Source organism: Homo sapiens, chromosome 3 (assembly GCF_000001405.40).
Source record: "Homo sapiens chromosome 3, GRCh38.p14 Primary Assembly".
Lineage (NCBI taxonomy): Eukaryota > Metazoa > Chordata > Mammalia > Primates > Hominidae > Homo > Homo sapiens.
This window is the reverse complement of record NC_000003.12, coordinates 136,472,279-136,495,652: the sequence shown is the minus strand read 5'-3', so window position 1 is coordinate 136,495,652 and position 23,374 is coordinate 136,472,279. Positions and strand designations below refer to the sequence as shown.

Genomic DNA, 23,374 nt, shown 5'->3' with positions numbered 1-23,374 from the left:
CCATGTTGGTCAGGCTGGTCTCGAACTCTTGACCTCAAGTGATCCACCCACCTTGGCCTCCCAAAGTGCTGGGATTACAGACATGAGCCACCGTGCCATCCATGCCACCACACCTGGCTGATATTCTTGATATAAGTTCGTGAACAGATGTATAGCTTTTTTTCATTTTCTTGATGGTGACCTTTACAGAGCAAATGTTTTCAATTTGTATGGCCCAGTTTATGAGTTTTTCTTCTGTGGTCATGCTTTTGGTATCTGTGAACATTGCCTAACCCCTAAGATTTCTTCTGTGTTTTATTTTCGAAGTTTAATCATTTTGTCTCTTCTATTAAGGCATATGAACCTTTAAAATTGAATTTTTAATTCAATTTTTGTAGATGACGTGATATAAGGGCAGAAGTCTACTTTTTGCATACAAATTTTCAGTTTTCCCAGCACCATTTAATGACAAAGTATCTTTCCCCAATTGAATTACCATGCCATCTCTCTTGAAGATGAATTGACCATAAACACAAGGTTTTATTTTTGGATTTTCTGTCTATCCTTACACTGATACCACCTGCATTGAGTATGCTTTAGATGAGCTTTTAAAATTAGGTAGTGTAAGTTGTCTTACTTTATTCTTCGTTTTCAAAAATTTTTTGACTGGTACAGATTCTTTGCATTTCTGTATAAATCTTAGGGTCAGCTTGTCAATTTTTGAACAAAAGCTTCTGAAATTATCATAGGGATTGTAATTACCTTGTGAACCAATTTGGAGAGAATTAACCTCTTAACAATATAGAATTTATTCCTTATCTTAATGGGGAAACAATTAGACTTTGAAATTAGGCACGATGTTATTAACTAAGTTTTGTGTAGATACCCTTTAGTAGGATGAGGAATTTACTTCTAGCCTGATTTGTTGGGTGTTTTTATCATGATGGATTGATGTATTTCTTTATTTTTTCTGTTTTGAATGAGGTGGTCATGCAGGTTTTTTCTTTTATTATATTAATATAGTGTATTGTGTTCATTGATTTTCAGATATTATACCAACCTTGCATTCTGGGAGAAATTCCACATGGTTATGGTATACAATCCTTTTTATATGCTACTGGATTCAGTTTGCTAGTATTTTGTTAAGGATTTGTGCATTTACTTTCATAAGGAATAACAGTGTCAATACTAGCCTTATAGAATACACTGGGAACTATTCTTCCTGCTCTGTTTTCTGAAAGAATTTATGAAGGATTGGTAATATTTCTATGTTTGGTAGATTTCAGCAGAGAAGCCCTTTAATACCAGGCTTTTCTTTGTGTAAAGGTTTTTAATTACTGATTCAATTTATATATCCTGAATTTTTTTAAGTTTTGTTTTGTTTTTTATTAATTTATTTTCTTGAGACAGGGTCTCTGTCTGTCACCCTGCCTGGAGTGCAGTGGCACAATCACAACTCCGTAGAACCTCAATGTCCTGGGCTCAAGCAGTCCTCCTGCCTCAGCTCCCAAGTAGCTAGGACTGCAGGCAAGCTTCACGACACCTGGCCAATTTTTTATTTTTTCTAGAAACTAGGGCTTCTCCCTGTTTTGCCCAGAATGGTTAGAACTCTTGACCTCAAGCAGTCCTTCTGCTTCGGCCTCCCAAAGTACTAGGATTATAGGTGTGAGCCACTGCGCCCTGCACACCGCCAGATTTTTTGTTGTTTTTGAGTCAGATTTGGTAATTTGTATTTCTCAGGCAATATGTCTATTTCATGCAAATTGTAAATTTAATGGCATAATGTTATTCATAATATTTTGTAGTTGTTTTAATTTTTGGGGGGTTGTCAGCCCCCTTATTTATTCTTGTGTGATTTGTGTCTTCTCTTTTGTCTTTCTCAGTTTCACTGTAAGTTTGTTTTGTTGATCTTTTCAAATAATAATGGACTTGTAATTTTGTTGGCTTTCTCTGTTTTTTATTTCCTTGATTTATGTTTCCATATTTATTATTTGTGTTGTTTTTTTTTTTTTTTTTTCGGAGACAGGATCTCGCTCTGTTGTCCAAGCTGGAGTGCAGTGTCATGATCATTGCTCACTGCAGCCTTGACTTCACGGGCTCAAGCAGTACTCCCGCCTCAGCCCCCTGAGTAGTTGGGACTACAAGCACACATCACTATGCCTGGCTAATTTTTGTTATTTTTGTAGAGTCAGGGTTTGGCCATGTTGTCCAGGCTCGTGTTGAACTCCTGGACTCAAGTGATCCACCTGCCTTAGCCTCCCAAAGTGATGGGATTACAGGTGTGAGCCATCCTTTGCTGATCTTTTTGTTTTGGTTTGGTTTGGTTTTTTTGAGACAGGGTTTTACTCTGTCACCCAGGTGGGAGTGCAGTTGCACAATCACAGCTCACTTCAGCCTCAACATCCTGGGCTCAGGTGATCTTCCCACCTCAGCCTCCTGAGTAGCTGGGACTACAGGCACACACTACCATACCTGGTTAATTTTTTGTATTTTCAGTAGAGACGAAGTTTCGCCATGTTGCCCAGGCTGGTCTCAAATTCCTGGGCTCAAGCCATTTACCACCCTCAGCCTCCCAAAGTGCTGTGATTAGGTGTGAACTATCATGCCTGGCCTAATTGTTTCTTAAGTTGAAAACTAAAATTATTCATTTTATATCCTTCCTCCTTTCTCAACTCCCCTTATAAGCTCTAAATTTTCCACAAAGCACTGCTCTAGCCCAGCTTCATTTTCTTGTCCTTCCTTTGTGCTATTATTGTCATATATATTTTGTCTACATTAGTTACTAACCCACCTGTACAGCATTATTTTCAGAGTGTTCAGTCATCTCTTAACAAAATTAAGAGGAGAAAATACAAATACACTTACTGTCTTCTAATTTACTTTCTTGTTAACATTTTTGACATTCTTCATTTTTTCCCGTGGAATTTAGTTATTGTATCGTGTTATTCCCTTGCAGTTTGAAGGACTTCATTTTGTGTCCCTTGTAAGGTAAATTTTACCCTGCTTAAACTGTTAAATGGCATGTAAATATCTGGGGGCAGTCTTAGGGCTCATCTTGTGTTATCCCCTCTCAGAGATTACCATTCTGCTCTGACTGATAATCCAACATCTAAAAATCATTTTGTGCAATTTGGTTTTTGTTTTCATTTACTTTTTTCAAGTGAGAGCATAAATTCTGTCCATCTTGGCTCCGTCATGCAGTCTTGAATTCAGAATCCATATTTTTATGATTTTCTGTCAGTCTGTAACACCAGTATTTATTTTAATGACTCACCTTTCTTGAGTCTTGACAAAGCTTTCAACCTATTATCCTTGTAGAAACAACAGTTATTTAATTTCTTACTGTTACAATGTTGATTTACATTTTATTTAATCAGACCTTGCATAAACTAGTATTGGATCTGTCATAGCCTGACTGAACTATTCAAAACTAGAATACAAGTGTAGTTGAGAATGTGACCTACTTGGCAAAAGTGATCAGCATGCCATGGATACTAATCATTAATTTCCATAAGTATCACTCAGTCTACATTATTGATTAATAGGAGATATTACTGCACGTACTGGAAGTAGTAGGTACTATGCAGAGATATCACTTTTTAAGTTACCACTTTGTGTCCCACTTACCACCATCCACTTCAAACAAATTTGATTTTTTTGTTTTTTTGTTTTGTTTTGTTTTTGAGACAATCTTGCTCTGTCTCCCAGGCTGGAGTGCAGCAGCGTGATCTTGGGCTGATTCCAGCCCCCGCCTCCTGGGTTCAGGTGATTCTCCTGCCTCAGCCTCCTGAGTAGCTGGGAATACAGGTGTGCACCACCATCCTCAGCTAATTTTGTATTTTTAATAGAGACAGGGTTTCACCATGTTGGCCTGGCTGGTCTTGAACTCCTGACCTCAGGTGATCTTCCTGCCTCGGGCTCCCAACGTGCTGGGATTACAAGTGTGAGCCACTGCACCCGGCCAACAAATTGGATTTTAATCTGTATGCTGCTAGATCTAAGTAATCATTTACAGTAAGTATGGAGACCAGAAGAATGTGTTTTCTAACTGAATCCTTGTGGTATTGCTTAAGTCTAGAATTTGGGAAACTGTACTTCAGACCAAATGATCAGTTTCTTCCACAAATAAATGGCAAATAATAAGAACCAGGGGATGTAAAAACACAAAATACTGAATGTGAAAAACACTCACAAATTCATATTTAATGAACAGGATATACTTTAGAATGTTGAGGAGACAATTAGTGAATTGGAATGTAATACTGAGGAGTTTACCCAGATCACAGTAATAAAGGGATAAAAAGATATGGACGGACCTTTCTGATATGGGAAGGGTAGTGTCAGATACTTCACCAGTCCTTTAAAAAGAAGTTTCAGGAAAAGAGAGAAGCCCTTGGTCATGGTAGTGTGCACCTGTAGTCCCAGCTACACAGGAGGATGAGATGGTAAGACTGCTTGAGCCCAGGAGTTCCAGGGTGCAGTGAACTATGATCAAGCCACTGCACTCCAGCCTGAACGACAGAGCAAGACCCCGTGTCTAAAAAAATAGATACATAGAAAGAAATGTATTAGAGAGAAGTAGTAGTAGTGAGTACAATTTTATAAAATTAGTTAAACAGAAACTTCAGATTAAAAAAACTTAATGAGTGCTGAGTAGGTTAGGGAATATATTCTACATCTAGACATACCGTAGTGAAAATGAAAAACATCAAAGATGAAGACAGTTATAAAAGCAACCAGAAAGATTGTTATTTCAGTAATGGTAAAAGAATAACAACAACAACAAAAAAGAATAACAAAGTTGTTAGGCCATAAGGACAAACTTACTCAGAGGACAGATTTAAGTACTTTTGAGAAGATGAAAAACAGATGTCTTTAAGACTAGTTGAGTCTTTTCATCCTTTTATGTTACAATGAAACATTTCAGAATCATATTTTCAGAGCTATTCTTATACAATACCATAATAGATTTATTCTGAACAAACTATTATTCCATTATTTTAATCTTCTTCTTAATATTTCATCTTTGATCTAATGTGGGGGTCAGGTTGCTAGTTAAAATGTAAATATTAATTAGAGGATATTTTTCTTTGAAAGCTAATGTATCTTTGACATTTGATTTTTAATCTTATTAAAGCCTAAAATTCTGTTAATAGTAAAATATTAAGGCGTAATGCAGGGTAACAGATAGCCATACACCTTCTCTGTATGAGACTCTTAGTGATGCAGTGCCTTTCTGTGTATTTTGCCACTGTTTTTACTTATTAATAATTAGCAACAAAAATGAGATGAAAAATAGTTTTATAAACTTGCCACATTTTCAATACATCTAAAATAACTCTTAGCAGTCGGGTGCGGTAGCTCACACCTGTAATCCCAGCACTTTGGGAGGATCACTTGAGGTCAGGAGTTCGAGACCAGCCTAGCCAACATGGCGAAACCCTGTCTCTACTAATAATACAAAAAAAAAAGGGGTGTGATGGTCTGTGCCTGTAATCCCAGCTACTCAGGAGGCTGAAGCAGGAGAATCGCTTGAACCCGGGAGGTGGAGGTTGCAGTGAGCCAAGATTGTGCCACTGCACTCCAGCCTGGGCGATGGAGTAAGATTATGTCCCAAAAAAATTAAATTAAATTAAATTAAAACTAAAATTAAATAACTCTAGTAAGCCTGAAATAATAAATGAAATATTTGTATTTAATTTGTAAACAACACAGTTTCAGCTCTTCGGGTTTACTCTTACACATTACTACCTTTCAAAAGCCTTCCTTGACCACCTTCTCTCCTCTCCATTTTACGTGCTTCTGTGTTCTCTGTAACACTCTTTACTAACTTTCAGCACTCGCTAAGGTAGTATTTATTTTAATCATCTTATTGTAAGTTAGGGTCTCTATTCTCAAGTTCTTAGTCTAATAAAGGATACAGTATGACTTTTCTGTAATTCTTTCAGCTATTTCTTTCTCCCTATGCTATTTCATACCAAAAAATTCTCTATAATTATTCTATTTTGGAAAATGTGATTTTTTTTTTCCTCGCAGCCTAATCTTAGTGATAAAATTGGTTGAGACCTGAATTCACTGGGTGCTGCAATTTAGAGAGTGTGCCTTTTTTGGCCATTCATAATTATTTCTCCCTGTGGAGCTCTCATGAGATTCCTTGTACATGAGCAATAATTGTGAGTGTCAAAACATCCATATTAGCTAAGCATGGTTTTTGAAATTTGTATTATAATCATTTTAATTTAGTCTGCATCCTTACTGGAAAAGCATCCATAAGGGTAATACAAGAAACATTTAATTAAAATTCACTGGAGTTCAACCTCATTTTGTTATAAGCAGAAAATAATTAAACTTCCATCTGCTGAGAAAGTAATCCAATGAAAACTTAGGTCCAGATACCATATTAAAGGGTTATGTTCTCCCCAAAAGGATGCATTGTAATGATCAATAATTAGATAAGTTTTTCCTAGAAGCAAACATGATCATTCTTTTATGCTGTAAAATAGAGTTACCACAAAGGATTAATAGAATTGCACCTGAATTATTCTTTTCTAGTTCCTTTTCTTTGAGTTTCCAAGTAAAGCCTTCATGTTTAGTTTTTAATTTCAAGGCCTGAATGCTAGGATGTTGTAAAAATTAGTCTGTCTTATGATTGTCTTTATTCCTTTCCTCTTGTCTTACTATTTTTTGCACCCCCTGCATTACTCTTTGCTTTGGATGCTCCCAAATGCCTCAGCTAGACATCTTTCTTAAATGGGGTGAGGCTATTGGAAATAGAGATTAGTTGTTTAAAAATAAATTTAATATGAAAACATAAAATTTGGAGGACTCTTATGAGGAAATATGTTTATATCAAAAGATATGTTGTAATCAAATCAGGGATATTTAGACTTACACTGCATTTTTATTTTATACTGTATCTCCTTGAATATACTATTAGTTCCTGGAGAGCAAGAAAGCAAATATATAATAATAATAGGAATCACAGAAGAACTGAGACTTCACTAGAGCTTGAAAGAATAATCAGTGTAGGTAATCAGAGTAGAATTCAGGGTATTATAGGCATAGGGATAACCACAAACGTGTAGGTGCTGATGCACTTGAGCTATTTGGACTAAAGAACTAATTGTGTAAGATGATTGGTTATTATTATATTTCTAAGGGTCTTTTATAATAAGGAAACTAATAATTTTAATTATCTTTTGCCATGTAACAAATTACTCCCAAACTTGGTGGTGTCAAATATTTATCTCAGGCTGGGGGCAGTGGCTCACGCCTGTAACCCCAGCCCTTTGGGAGGCCAAGGCGGGTGCATCACCTGAGGTCAGGAGTTCAAGACCAGCCTGGCTAACATGGCGAAACCCTGTTTCTACTAAAAATACAAAAATTAGCCGGATGCAGTGGCACGTGCCTATAGTCCCAGCTACTCGGGAGGCTGAGGCAGGAGAATCACTTGAACCCAGGAGGTGGAGGTTGCAGTGAGCCGAGATCATGCCACTGCACTCCAACCTGAGTGACAGAATGAGACTCCGTCTCAAAAAGCAAACAAAAAAACATTTGTCTCATAATTTCTATGGGTCAGGAATTTGGGAGTAGCCCAGCTAGCTGGTTCTAGCTTAGATCTCTCATAAGATTACAATCAAAGCATCCTCCAAGTCATCTGAAGACTTGGCTGGGGTTGTAGGTTCTGCTTCCACAATGGCTTACTTACATGGCTGATGGCAGAAAGCTCTAGTTACTCATCACATGGAGCTTTCCATAGAGCACCTTGAATGTCATCAAGACATAGCCGGTGGCTTTCCCCAGAGAGTGATCACAGAGAGAACAAAACAGTCACTTAGCCTCAGGAGTCAGAATTCCTCATTTCTACTACATTATATTCATCAGAGATACTTTACGTAGTATACCCACATTCAAGAAAAGGGGAATGAAAGGAGCAAAGAATTTGTGGACATCCTTCAAAACTACCACATCAGTTGTAATTTTGCTGTCTAGTCTGTGATTATTCACATGTATATGTTATGTATTATGATCTATCAGGGTGATGTCAGCAGTCAAAGTGGATTGGAGCACTAGAACCCAAAGAGGAGACAAGTTACCCAGGGAGTTTTTATAGCTACAGAATAGGCTCTCTGGCCCCACATGGTCAAATTGCAAGTCTGGAAAAGGATATTTACATTTTTAAAGTTAAGATGGGAAGGATTGAACTGGCATCTGAAGTAGACAAGGACTGGGATTCCTAGAAAACATGTGGTATGAAAATACTGGCAATGTGAAACCAACCCAAATGCCCATCAGTGATAGACTAGATAAAGCAAATGTGGTACATACACTCCATGGAATACCATGCAGCCGTAAAAAGGAGTGAGATGATGTCTTTTCCAAGGACATGGATGAAGCTGGAAGCCATTATCCTCAGCAAACTAACACAGGAACAGAAAACCAAACACCGTATATTTTCACTCATAAGTGGAAGCTGAACATTAAGAACACATGGACACACAGAGGGGAACAGCACACACCAGTGCCTGTTGGGAGTTGGGGGTGAGGGGAGGGAACTTAGAGGACGGGTCAATAGGTGCAGCAGACCACCATGGCACATGCATACCTGTATAACAAACCTGCACGTTCTGTGCTTGTATCTGCTTTTTTTTTTTTTTTTTTTTTTTTTTTTTTTGAAGAAATAAAAAAAAATCGGCATTGCATACAGAGAACCTGTGTTCTGAGAACATAAGCTGTTCAGTAGTCTAGTTGGTGAAACAACAAAGACGTTAGAAATTAGGCATAGATGTAGATATGGGTGTAAAAAATGTTTTGAACAGGATTTCCCTGCTGAAGACGTAAAGGTAAGACTGGTTGTTCTCTAGCCTGTTGCAAACAGCCATTCATAATCTCAGTATTAGTAGTAATTCCAAGAATTAACCTAACTCTAAGAGTTAGTTGGAAGAGTTAGATGGAAGAATGATTTCACTGTGTATATGTGCAGTTACCATACTGAGTAGTCACTAAGTTTTAATCAGCATGCTGTACCTATTGACTTTGTCCTCAGCCTGCTTCCATGAAATTGTGTAATAAAACTTAGCCTGGTTTTTATAGAATTGACTTTTACAAGGGTAGTATAGCAGAGGAAAAATGTAATGGATCCTCGGCAGAGATACTACTTGGTAGGACTGAAAGAGCTAAAATGATATGATTTGGATGTTTTATAGATATATTTTGTAGTTGTGTTTTGGTTTTTGAGGGGAGTTTTATTTTTGCTACTGTTAGCTTGTTTTTATTTGGACATCCCAGTAGAAAACAAAGTATACAAAGCTGTAGCTCAGAGATGGAAATTTTAAATAGTAGGATAATACCAAATGTCAGGCAAGGATGTGAAACACTGATGTAGACATTTTTAAATATCTAATAATGTTGAAGATGTGCATTGCTTCTAACCCAATAATTTCACTTGTAGGTATCAAAACAGTGTCTCACAGATGTTGTTGACTATGTCCTACATTAGGTACACAGTAGCTTCAAGAAAGAATACTTACTTGCCTACTACATGTGGAGCATTTTGGTATTTTCTGTCCTATATACTTTTATGTATTTGTTGCCACTCACTGAATCAATTTTATAATGTGCTAATGGGTCCCGATGCAGTATTTTAAAAACACTGCTCTAAGGAAACTCCCACATATCTGCACAGGGAGAAACATACAAGAATATTCATGGACTCATTGTTAGTAAAAGCAAAACCTTGGAAACAACTTAAATTTCCATTTATGAGAGAATATGTAATTTATAATTGTTTATAGAAAGGAACAGTGGACACTGGCTAAAATTAAAACATCAGAGCTTTATAAACCAGTATGCATAAATTGCAAAATATGATTTGTGAAAAAAGCAAGTTGTAGAAGGAGGCCTACAGGATAATATTTATGTAAAACAATACATATGACGTTAAACAGAGATGGAATTGATATTCACTGAATCAAGGACAGTCATTTACTCTTGGGAAGGGAGATGTATCAGACGTATATAGGAATTTTTAACTGTATTATATTTCTTAGCTGAGCAGTGGATATATGCAGTTATTCATTATATTGTCCCCTATACCTTGTTTTATGTCTGAAATTTTTTGTCTGAAAAAAGAAATATTCTTGTCCCACGCATGTTCAGTATTATGTAGGTCTAGGAACACCTCACAGTTTATAGTAGAGCTACTTTTTTTTTCTTTTTAGACAGAATCTCACTCTGTCACCCAGGCTGGAGTGCAGTGGCGTGATCTCGGCTTACTGCAACCTCCGCCTCCTGGGTTCAAACGATTCTCCTGCCTCAGCCTCTCGAGTAGCTGGGACTACAGGTGCCCACCACCACGCCCAGCTAATTTTTTGTATTTTTAGTAGAGATGGTGTTTCACCATGTTTGCCAGGATGTTCTCGATCTCCTGACTTCGTGATCTGCCCACCTCAGCCTCCCAAAGTGCTGGGATTACAGGCGTGAGCCACTGTGCCTGGCCAGTAGAGCTACTTTTTATACTGTATTCATTATAAATGTCTAGATTGATGAAACAAATGAAAGATTATAATAGGAGGGAGGAGCCAAGATGGCCGAATAGGAACAGCTCCGGTCTACAGCTCCCAGCGTGAGCGACGCAGAAGACGGGTGATTTCTGCATTTCCATCTGAGGTACCGGGTTCATCTCACTAGGGAGTGCCAGACAGTGGGCACAGGCCAGTGTGTGCGCGCACCGTGCGCGAGCCGAAGCAGGGCGAGGCATTGCCTCACCTGGGAAGCGCAAGGGTCAGGGAGTTCCCTTTCCGAGTCAAAGAAAGGGGTGACAGACGCACCTGGAAAATCGGGTCACTCCCACCCGAATATTGCGCTTTTCAGACCGGCTTAAAAAACGGCGCACCAGGAGACTATATCCCACACCTGGCTCAGAGGGTCCTACGCCCACGGAATCTCGCTGATTGCTGGCACAGCAGTCTGAGATCAAACTGCAAGGCGGCAACGAGGCTGGGGGAGGGGCGCCCGCCATTGCCCAGGCTTGCTTAGGTAAACAAAGCAGCCAGGAAGCTCGAACTGGGTGGAGCCCACCACAGCTCAAGGAGGCCTGCCTGCCTCTGTAGGCTCCACCTCTGGGGGCAGGGCACAGACAAACAAAAAGACAGCAGTAACCTCTGCAGACTTAAGTGTCCCTGTCTGACAGCTTTGAAGAGAGCAGTGGTTCTCCCAGCACGCAGCTGGAGATCTGAGAACGGGCAGACTGCCTCCTCAATTGGGTCCTTGACCCCTGACCCCCGAGCAGCCTAACTGGGAGACACCCCACAGCAGGGGCACACTGACACCTCACACGGCAGGGTATTCCAACAGACCTGCAGCTGAGGGTCCTGTCTGTTAGAAGGAAAACTAACAACCAGAAAGGACATCTAACAGAAAACCCATCTGTACATCACCATCATCAAAGACCAAAAGTAGATAAAACCACAAAGATGGGGAAAAAACAGAACAGAAAAACTGGAAACTCTAAAACGCAGAGCGCCTCTCCTCCTCCAAAAGAACGCAGTTCCTCACCAGCAACGGAACAAAGCTGGATGGAGAATGATTTTGACGAGCTGAGAGAAGAAGGCTTCAGACGATCAAATTACTCTGAGCTACGGGAGGACATTCAAACCAAAGGCAAAGAAGTTGAAAACTTTGAAAAAAATTTAGAAGAATGTATAACTAGAATAACCAATACAGAGAAGTGCTTAAAGGAGCTGATGGAGCTGAAAACCAAGGCTCGAGAACTACGTGAAGAATGCAGAAGCCTCAGGAGCCGATGCGATCAACTGGAAGAAAGGGTATCAGCAATGGAAGATGAAATGAATGAAATGAAGCGAGAAGGGAAGTTTAGAGAAAAAAGAATAAAAAGAAATGAGCAAAGCCTCCAAGAAATATGGGACTATGTGAAAAGACCAAATCTACGTCTGATTGGTGTACCTGAAAGTGATGTGGAGAATGGAACCAAGTTGGAAAACACTCTGCAGGATATTATCCAGGAGAACTTCCCCAATCTAGCAAGGCAGGCCAACGTTCAGATTCAGGAAATACAGAGAACGCCACAAAGATACTCCTCGAGAAGAGCAATTCCAAGACACATAATTGTCAGATTCACCAAAGTTGAAATGAAGGAAAAAATGTTAAGGGCAGCCAGAGAGAAAGGTCAGGTTACCCTCAAAGGAAAGCCCATCAGACTAACAGCGGATCTCTCGGCAGAAACCCTACAAGCCAGAAGAGAGTGGGGGCCAATATTCAACATTCTTAAAGAAAAGAATTTTCAACCCAGAATTTCATATCCAGCCAAACTAAGCTTCATAAGTGAAGGAGAAATAAAATACTTTATAGACAAGCAAATGCTGAGAGATTTTGTCAACACCAGGCCTGCCCTAAAAGAGCTCCTGAAGGAAGCGCTAAACATGGAAAGGAACAACCGGTACCAGCCGCTGCAAAATCATGCCAAAATGTAAAGACCATCGAGACTAGGAAGAAACTGCATCAACTAACGAGCAAAATCACCAGCTAACATCATAATGACAGGATCAAATTCACACATAACAATATTAACTTTAAATATAAATGGACTAAATTCTGCAATTAAAAGACACAGACTGGCAAGTTGGATAAAGAGTCAAGACCCATCAGTGTGCTGTATTCAGGAAACCCATCTCACGTGCAGAGACACACATAGGCTCAAAATAAAAGGATGGAGAAAGATCTACCAAGCCAATGGAAAACAAAAAAAGGCAGGGGTTGCAATCCTAGTCTCTGATAAAACAGACTTTAAACCAACAAAGATCAAAAGAGACAAAGAAGGCCATTACATAATGGTAAAGGGATCAATTCAACAAGAGGAGCTAACTATCCTAAATATTTATGCACCCAATACAGGAGCACCCAGATTCATAAAGCAAGTCCTGAGTGACCTACAAAGAGACTTAGACTCCCACACATTAATAATGGGAGACTTTAACACCCCACTGTCAACATTAGACAGATCAACGAGACAGAAAGTCAACAAGGATACCCAGGAATTGAACTCAGCTCTGCACCAAGCAGACCTAATAGACATCTACAGAACTCTCCACCCCAAATCAACAGAATATACAGTTTTTTCAGCACCACACCACACCTATTCCAAAATTGACCACATAGTTGGAAGTAAAGCTCTCCTCAGCAAATGTAAAAGAACAGAAATTATAACAAACTATCTCTCAGACCACAGTGCAATCAAACTAGAACTCAGGATTAAGAATCTCACTCAAAGCCGCTCAACTACATGGAAACTGAACAACCTGCTCCTGAATGACTACTGGGTACATAACGAAATGAAGGCAGAAATAAAGATGTTCTTTGAAACCAACGAGAACAAAGACACCACATACCAGAATCTCTGGGACGCATTCAAAGCAGTGTGTAGAGGGAAATTTATAGCACTAAATGCCTACAAGAGAAAGCAGGAAAGATCCAAAATTGACACCCTAACATCACAATTAAAAGAACTAGAAAAGCAAGAGCAAACACATTCAAAAGCTAGCAGAAGGCAAGAAATAACTAAAATCAGAGCAGAACTGAAGGAAATAGAGACACAAAAAACCCTTCAAAAAATCAATGAATCCAGGAGCTGGTTTTTTGAAAGGATCAACAAAATTGATAGACCGCTAGCAAGAGTAATAAAGAAAAAAGAGAAGAATCAAATAGACGCAATAAAAAATGATAAAGGGGATATCACCACCGATCCCACAGAAATACAAACTACCATCAGAGAATACTACAAACACCTCTACGCAAATAAACTAGAAAATCTAGAAGAAATGGATACATTCCTCGACACATACACTCTCCCAAGACTAAACCAGGAAGAAGTTGAATCTCTGAATAGACCAATAACAGGCTCTGAAATTGAGGCAATAATCAATAGTTTACCAACCAAAAAGAGTCCAGGACCAGATGGATTCACAGCCGAATTCTACCAGAGGTACAAGGAGGAACTGGTACCATTCCTTCTGAAACTATTCCAATCAATAGAAAAAGAGGGAATCTTCCCTAACTCATTTTATGAGGCCAGCATCATTCTGATACCAAAGCCGGGCAGAGACACAACCAAAAAAGAGAATTTTAGACCAATATCCTTGATGAACATTGACGCAAAAATCCTCAATAAAATACTGGCAAACCGAATCCAGCAGCACATCAAAAAGCTTATCCACCATGATCAAGTGGGCTTCATCCCTGGGATGCAAGGCTGGTTCAATATACGCAAATCAATAAATGTAATCCAGCATATAAACAGAGCCAAAGACAAAAACCACATGATTATCTCAATAGATGCAGAAAAAGCCTTTGACAAAATTCAACAACCCTTCATGCTAAAAACTCTCAATAAATTAGGTATTGATGGGACGTATTTCAAAATAATAAGAGCTATCTATGACAAACCCACAGCCAATATCATACTGAATGGGCAAAAACTGGAAGCATTCCCTTTGAAAACTGGCACAAGACAGGGATGCCCTCTCTCACCGCTCCTATTCAACATAGTGTTGGAAGTTCTGGCCAGGGCAATCAGGCAGGAGAAGGAAATAAAGGGTATTCAATTAGGAAAAGAGGAAGTCAAATTGTCCCTGTTTGCAGACGACATGATTGTATATCTAGAAAACCCCATCGTCTCAGCCCAAAATCTCCTTAAGCTGATAAGCGACTTCAGCAAAGTCTCAGGATACAAAATCAATGTACAAAAATCACAAGCATTCTTATACACCAACAACAGACAAACAGAGAGCCAAACCATGAGTGAACTCCCATTCACAATTGCTTCAAAGAGAATAAAATACCTAGGAATCCAACTTACAAGGGATGTGAAGGACCTCTTCAAGGAGAACTACAAACCACTGCTCAAGGAAATAACAGACGACACAAACAAATGGAAGAACATTCCATGCTCATGGGTAGGAAGAATCAATATCGTGAAAATGGCCATACTGCCCAAGGTAATTTACAGATTCAATGCCATCCCCATCAAGCTACCAATGACTTTCTTCACAGAATTGGAAAAAACTACTTTAAAGTTCATATGGAACCAAAAAAGAGCCCGCATCGCCAAGTCAATCCTAAGCCAAAAGAACAAAGCTGGAGGCATCACACTACCTGACTTCAAACTATACTACAAGGCTACAGTAACCAAAACAGCATGGTACTGGTACCAAAACAGAGATATAGATCAATGGAACAGAACAGAGCCCTCAGAAATAATGCCGCATATCTACAACTATCTGATCTTTGACAAACCTGAGAAAAACAAGCAATGGGGAAAGGATTCCCTATTTAATAAATGGTGCTGGGAAAACTGGCTAGCCATATGTAGAAAGCTGAAACTGGATCCCTTCCTTACACCTTATACAAAAATCAATTCAAGATGGATTAAAGATTTAAACGTTAGACCTAAAACCATAAAAACCCTAGAAGAAAACCTAGGCATTACCATTCAGGACATAGGCGTGGGCAAGGACTTCATGTCCAAAACACCAAAAGCAATGGCAACAAAAGCCAAAATTGACAAATGGGATCTAATTAAACTAAAGAGCTTCTGCACAGCAAAAGAAACTACCATCAGAGTGAACAGGCAACCTACAACATGGGAGAAAATTTTCGCAACCTACTCATCTGACAAAGGGCTAATATCCAGAATCTACAATGAACTCAAACAAATTTACAAGAAAAAAACAAACAACCCCATCAAAAAGTGGGCGAAGGACATGAACAGACACTTCTCAAAAGAAGACATTTATGCAGCCAAAAAACACATGAAAAAATGCTCATCATCACTGGCCATCAGAGAAATGCAAATCAAAACCACTATGAGATATCATCTCACACCAGTTAGAATGGCAATCATTAAAAAGTCAGGAAACAACAGGTGCTGGAGAGGATGTGGAGAAATAGGAACACTTTTACACTGTTGGTGGGACTGTAAACTAGTTCAACCATTGTGGAAGTCAGTGTGGCGATTCCTCAGGGATCTAGAACTAGAAATACCATTTGACCCAGCCATCCCGTTACTGGATATATACCCAAAGGACTATAAATCATGCTGCTATAAAGACACATGCACACGTATGTTTATTGCGACACTATTCACAATAGCAAAGACTTGGAACCAACCCAAATGTCCAACAATGATAGACTGGATTAAGAAAATGTGGCACATATACACCATGGAATACTATGCAGCCATAAAAAGTGATGAGTTCATGTCCTTTGTAGGGACATGGATGAAATTGGAAACCATCATTCTCAGTAAACTATCGCAAGAACAAAAAACCAAACACCGCATATTCTCACTCATAGGTGGGAATTGAACAATGAGATCACAAGGACACAGGAAGGGGAATATCACACTCTGGGGACGGTGGTGGGGTCAGGGGAGGGGGGAGGGATAGCATTGGGAGATATACCTAATGCTAGATGACACGTTGGTGGGTGCAGCGCACCAGCATGGCACATGTATACATATGTAACTAACCTGCACAATGTGCACATGTACCCTAAAACTTAAAGTATAATAAAAAAAAAAATTAAAAAAAAAAAAAAAAGAAAGATTATAATAGCCAACATTTAATGGAAGGATTAATGGATGCCAGGTAGAATTCTAAGTCTTCTATTTGTATTAAGTGATTTTATTCTCATAGTAACTGTGAGCTAGGTGGTATTATTACCACTATTTTAGAGATGAGGAAACCTAAGAAAAAGGGAAATACCCAAGGTCACACAGCTAGTAAATAGCAGAACCAGGATTTGAACTCAGGATGTCTTCCTCCAGAGCCTGTACTTTTAGCCACTATGTTGTACAGCCTCTCCATGAGAAAAAGATACTATCAAAAAATGTAGGAAAACTAAAGGTTGTAATTGGCAGTATGGCTTGGAAAGAGAATGTTTTCCCTGTTTTTATCCTTAAGCAATGACAGGAGCCTAGAGAGAACTGAGACTTATTAGAGCAAGGAATTTTGTCACCAAAGAGAAACTAAGAAAAGTGCCTTAATTATCATTAAAATTTTAGCTAAAATGATAGATTATTGCCTTTTGTAAATTGGATAATTAAAAATTACTTAAAATTTTAACATTTGTGAATGGTAAATCAGAAACCTTGAAGATTGATCTACAGAAGAAAATTAGGATTTATGATATTATAGTTAATATTTTTTTCTTAAAGCTAAGGCTAATAACCTTGTGATGAAAGATTATAAAAGTGTTAACATTGTATTTGTTTACAATTCACAGAGATTGTATAGTAGGAAAGTCATCCCAGGAGGGTTATATTGGATGCTTACTTATGGTGAGGTGAAAAGCCATCTAGGCAATGAGCCAGAATTCTGACTTTTCGGGTTGTTCTGCCATGACTTCGCAGTATTGTCACCAAGATGGTTACCATTGTCACTAGAGGTGGATTCTTCCGTCTCAGCCTAAAAAATATATTATTACAGATGAAAGACCTGTGCCTTGAATAAAGTGGGCTTTTTCTTTTAATTCATTACATGTGTGCTAGCTTATAAAGATTCCCAGTTCTGGCCGGTCACAGTGGCTCACGCGTGTAATCCCAGCACTTTGGGAGGCCGAGGTGGGTGGATCACTTGAGGTCAGGAGTTCAAGACCACCCTGGCCAATATGATGAAACCCCATCTCTACTAAAAATACAAAAATTACTCAGGTGTGGTGGCTTGCACCTGTAGTCTCAGCTACTTGGGTGGCTGAGGCAGGAGAATCACTTGAACCTGGAGGCAGAGGTTGCAGTCAGCCGAAATCATGCCACTGCACTCCAGCATGAGCGACAGAGCAAGACTCCATTTAATAATAATTTTTTAAAAAAAGATTAACAGTTCTTTTGAGAAACATTATTCTGTACTTGGATGTTGTGACTCTGATTTTCTTAGAAAGTTTAACATGTTTCTTGGCTCTGTAATAGTTGTGAGGCTCTCAGAAAGCTCCAAATGTCATTGTCTAGCCCAGTGAAAATAGAGTAATTGGGTCAAAATAGTTTAATAGAAGCTTTTTTTTTCCAGTTTGGTATTATTAGTGTTTATTTTATAGAAAACATGAAAAACAGAAGATACTTAAGTTGGAGGCCATTCAGAATGCAAATATATACAAACAGCATTAGAAATATTTATTGCTTATGGAAAGCGAGTATGAATGCATTCTAGCTTTGTATATTAATTTGAGATTGTCTTTTTTTTCTCTCTCTAGTGATGCTATTGCTGAGATTAGAGCCATTTGTATTGAAGAAATTGGAGTATGGATGAAAATGTATAGTGATGCCTTCCTAAATGACAGTTACCTAAAATATGTTGGCTGGACTCTTCATGACAGGGTAAGTTACTCTGTTCTAAGCTTTGATGGAAGTTATGTTTGTCTCAGTACTAAAATGCTGGGAATCAAAATGACAGTAGTTGATTTTTCAGGAGTTGTAATCATGTGGAAATTTTAAGATGATGCAGCTGAATAACTATTTACTTGATGATTGTGATGAAACTGGAAGCATTTGCCCAGGGGTGAAGACCCTATCTTGTTTAGTTACAATATTGTCTTGAACCAAGTTTGACAACCTGGTATATATAAAGTTTTCAGAGAAAGAAAATCATTATATTCTTTTTCTAATTCAGAATCAAAGGAGATTTCTTTTTTCTTAATATATAAAAACTAAGCTTTTTTTTAAAAAAAATTTTCTAGGACCATATCATAGTAGAGTGCTTTATCAGACTTGAATAGATTTGTTGGATTTTAGAATATTTGATCTAAAAATCTAATTCTGCCTTCTGACTTTAAAAGGAATCCCTCATATAAGTAATCCTGAATAAGTAATCCTTAGAATAACCATGGGTAGGAGTGATAAGTTATTGGAATTTGGCCAGGTGTGGCATTTACGTACTGTAATAGAAATAATATTAGAGTATATTAGAGCCCCAAAGTAGAGCACTTATCATAAAAGCAACTGGAATTTTCATTCCCATTATAAGTTATTTTACAGTTTTCTGAAGTATTTTTCATGAATACTACCTTATTTAATTGTTAAGAAGTTCCTGTGGTGACTTTACAGAGAACAGCTGTCCTCAGCCTTTTGCTCATCCATTGTTGATCCTTTCATTATACATGTTACGTAATACTTTTGTTTGCTTTCCACCTGTCTTGCCCCCTGGAATACCATATTCATTGAGCAAGTTCCATAAATCCCTATGGGTTGCCCTTCAGTTACTGCCTATTGCAATTATTGTGTTCCCACCCCCCTTGACTATGATGGTCAGGAGAAGCTTTGTTCTCTCTGCTCTTCTGGGATCTTCACATCTCCATTGCTCCTGGGAGCCAAATTTTCCATTTGGTCTGTGCTGAGATTTGTCCTTAGTCTCATGACCAGGAGGAAGGTCTGTGTATTATATCAAGACAAGGGCTACTAGCATTGTCCTATAGGCACCTGCCTTATTTGAGGCTTCCAGGTAGTCTTTCAGCAAAGGATGGAGTAAGGAGGAAACATACTATCCTCTAACAAGTGGGCATGAGCCATATTTTCAGGCCTACAAATTCAGAGGAAATGGGGAGTTCAAGATTCTCACTGCATCTACCCAGATATCCTTTAGACTTCACTTTTTTCATATCATAACTCTTATTTTGACATAAGAGACTTGCCTGGGATTCAGAGTTCTTAAATTCTGTCACACTTACAATTTAGTGCTAGGCCTGGTCTTTAGTATCATCAGTTCTCTTTCTAAAGGAAATAAATGTTTCCAAAGAGGCAACACTTGGCTTTGAACTGGTGATGAAACACCCTGGCCCTGTCATTTTCTCTTTAGCCTTTCAGTGACACTTAGCAATAGCCACTTAACTTCACAGTTTTTACAGTTACTATTTGCTCTGCTCCCTCCAGTGTAGAAATGTTGTACAAGTTAATGCACATCCACTTTCAACTAAAAGTGAAAATCCTAACAAACTGCTGTCCTACGTCAGGAACTATCAAGACTTCATCTACCACCATTGAGTCTTACCTCATAGCAATCCAGCCTTCAGTAATCCAATCCCAGAATCCCATTATTGAAGTCTGATTCCCAGGACCACTCTTGGTTCCAGCTCTCATAGATCACATTCCCTGGATGCCAAGCCTGAGTTGGGGATTTTTGTGCTGGTGATGTTGCGAGGTTTGTACTCTCAAGAGTAACCTGTTGGCTGGGCATGATGACTCACACCTGTAATCTCAGCATTTTGGGAGGCAGAGACAGGCGGATCACCTGAGGTCAGGAGTTCGAGACCAGCCTGGCCAGCATGGCAAAACCCTGTCTCTACTAAAAATGGAAAACTTTGCTGGGCATGGTGGTGGGCACCTGTAATTTCAGCTACTCGGGAGGCTGAGACAAGAGAATCACTTGAACCTGGGAGGCGGAGGTTGCAGTGAGCTGAAATCACACCACTGTACTCCAGCCTGGGTGACAAGAGCAAGACTCTGCCTCAAAAAAAAAAAAAAAAAAAAAAAAAGGAACCTATAAAAAAGTGAGGAAAGTATGACAAAGCAGGAAACAGACTAATGAAAATGTGGTTTCAGGAGAAGTCTAATCTCAACCTGATCTCACAGGGAGATTGGGAGAGTAAATTGTACCTTAGAGGGTATCCTGTACAGAAGCAAGGAGGCTGGGCTGTTTCACCCCTGTATCTTTCTTTACTGGCTATGGGCCTCAACCTGGGCGAGAGAAGGGAAGTGGTTGGGAGAGGAAAGATGGAGCATAACCTCCTAGGGGTCTATGTGCTAGGTGGTTCTAGTAAACCGTGGTCCATTCTCCAGAGAAAGATAGAGATATTGAACCATTAGCAGTTAACACTGGCAGACACTGAAGAATTAGCCCAGTAAAGGGGACCTGGGTAGGGCATCAGCAGCACCTGCCACAGGCACTTCAGCTTTCGCTTGTGTGCTAGGGACTTACCAACAAATATTACGTTATCTCATAGCACATCTCATGGTATGTATGCTACTGTAGGCTTGAATCAGCTTACAAAAGAGTGATTATGCATCTCCATAAATGAGTTCATTGACATCTCATCAATAACTTAATATTGGCTATGAAGGCACTATTTACATTAAATAAATCTGCAAAGAGAACAAATCAGAACCCTATTCCTCAGAGCTCTTTGTTAAAACTTTTACCAGCATATCTCTGCACTTAATCCCTACGATAATTTTATAAACAAGAAACCTGAGTATCAGGGTGATTAATAATATACTTAACATCTTGCATGTAGCTAATAAATTATATAGAATTGGAACTAAAATTTAGTTGTATCTGATTCCAGAACTTGGTCTCCTGCTGTTACAGCACATAGCTTCTTTCAGAGGATAGAAACTAATCCCCTTTAAATCTTTTGAGAGACTTGTCTAGATTTCTAGGTGATCCTGAATGCATTTTGATCATCAACATCCTGTACGCCAAGTTGATGACTTTATTAAAGACATTCCACTAATAAATAGCACTCCCAGGACTCTTCATGTATCATTTTGCCTCTGTTTTAAACATTGTGCTATTTCTGTTTTGCTAACTGCTGTCCCTGGAATATAAATTGAATCCAGTAAATATTTGTTGCATGAATAAATGATGACCATTTTGTATAAAAATCAGGTTTTTCCACAGAATTATTCAATAATTACATAAAGGACAAATAAACATACTTTTCCCTAATTATAGGTTTAAAATTCTCTCTTTGTGCCTCTGGATGACGTGGGTTATACCACATGTTGAGTCAGCGTTGATAAATATTTAAAATAGGCATAACTTACTCTCAAGTAACTAAGGTCTTTTCAGTGAATTTTTTTTTTTTTTTACATATAAGGGCAACACACACTATACAATTGTTCAGTCTCATCCTATGTTGAATTACAATATGCAGTAAGTCAAATGTTTAAGCTAAATTTTAGTCTTCATATAGACTTGAAAATTGTAGTATGGAATTGACTCCTTCTGTTGTGCTTTTATTTGTATTTCTGAAGCAAGGGGAAGTCAGGCTGAAGTGTTTGAAAGCTCTGCAGAGTCTATATACCAATAGAGAATTATTCCCCAAATTGGAACTATTCACTAACCGATTCAAGGTAAGCATCAAGAATGATAAGCTTATTTAATTTTTCTCTTTACAAATGCTAGTTACAGCTAGTTTAGCAAATTACATTATCATACAAGTGTTTAGTTCATATTCTTTATTACAGCAGTCCCCAACCTTTTTGGCACCAGGGACCAGTTTCATGGAAGACAGTTTTTCTGTGGACCAAGGTGGGGGTTGAGGGGATGGTTTCGGGATGATTCAAGTGCATTACATTTATTGGGCACTTTATTTCTGTTGTTATTACATTGTAATATGTAATGAAACAATTATACAACTCACCATAAGGTAGAATCATTGCAGCCCTGAACTTGTTTTCCTGCAACTAGATGTTCCCATCTAGGGGTGATGGGAGACAGTAACAGATCATCAGGCATTAGATTCTCATAAGGAGCACACAACGTAGATCCCTTGCATGCGCAGTTCACAGTAGGGTTCATGTTCCTGTTGTTCCTATTGAGAATCTAATGCCACTGCTGATTTGACAAGACTTGGAGCTCAGGCAATAGTGGGAGTGATGGAGAACAGCTGTAAATACAGATGAAACTTCACTGGCTCACTTGCTCCCACACCACTAACCCCTTGCTGTGTGGCCCAGTTCCTAACAGGTTACAGACCAGGATTGGGGACCCCTGCTTTTACTACATGTTCTTTAAATAAACCCATATGAAATTGATAAGTGAATCTCTGCTTTACAAAAGATATTACCATGAGTTCTTATTTATTACCTTTGGAAGAAGGCTTACCTGCTTAAAATTTTCTTTACAGCTTGTTATAAAGATAGTAATTTTGTATGTTAAGGCTTCCTTGACACAAGGTTTAGGGAACAGCAATTGTTGAGAAAGATTTTAAATTACAAACATTTATACTAACATCCCCTTTGTGTGAGTAGGACTACAATACTGCAGTTTCAAGAGTAAAGCTTTTTATTTAACCTATCATTAGTATTGCATATATATCCCAGAATACATTATATTAGATCTGTCCCAGCTTATTTTCTGTTCATAGTTGGTTTGTTTTACAACTTTTTTTTCTCAGGATCGCATTGTATCAATGACACTTGATAAAGAATATGATGTTGCTGTGGAAGCTATTCGATTGGTTACTCTGATACTTCAGTAAGTAATATCCATTACTATTTTAACTTTATTGATATTTTAATACCTTTTCCCCAGGATTTTTAATGTCCTATCTATATATAGTCCTTATGTATATGTTTATCATTTTAGGTTCAACTTTTACATTTTAACGT

At 38.6% G+C, this 23,374-nt stretch overlaps 1 protein-coding gene across 7 annotated transcripts in view; it reads left to right on the top strand.

Annotated features, from left to right (window-relative positions):
- The window catches only part of STAG1 (STAG1 cohesin complex component), a 416,143-nt gene that overhangs the window by 256,726 nt on the left and 136,043 nt on the right, over positions 1–23,374 (top strand). For all 7 annotated transcript variants that reach the window (XR_001739978.2, NM_005862.3, XM_047447229.1 and 4 more), the window contains 3 exons: positions 18,241–18,364; positions 22,016–22,114; positions 23,161–23,240. Coding sequence is in view for 6 of the 7 variants with exons in the window: in NM_005862.3 (NP_005853.2) it covers positions 18,241–18,364; positions 22,016–22,114; positions 23,161–23,240 (303 nt within the window). In the remaining variant the exon portion in view is untranslated. The remainder of the gene's footprint in view (positions 1–18,240; positions 18,365–22,015; positions 22,115–23,160; positions 23,241–23,374) is intronic.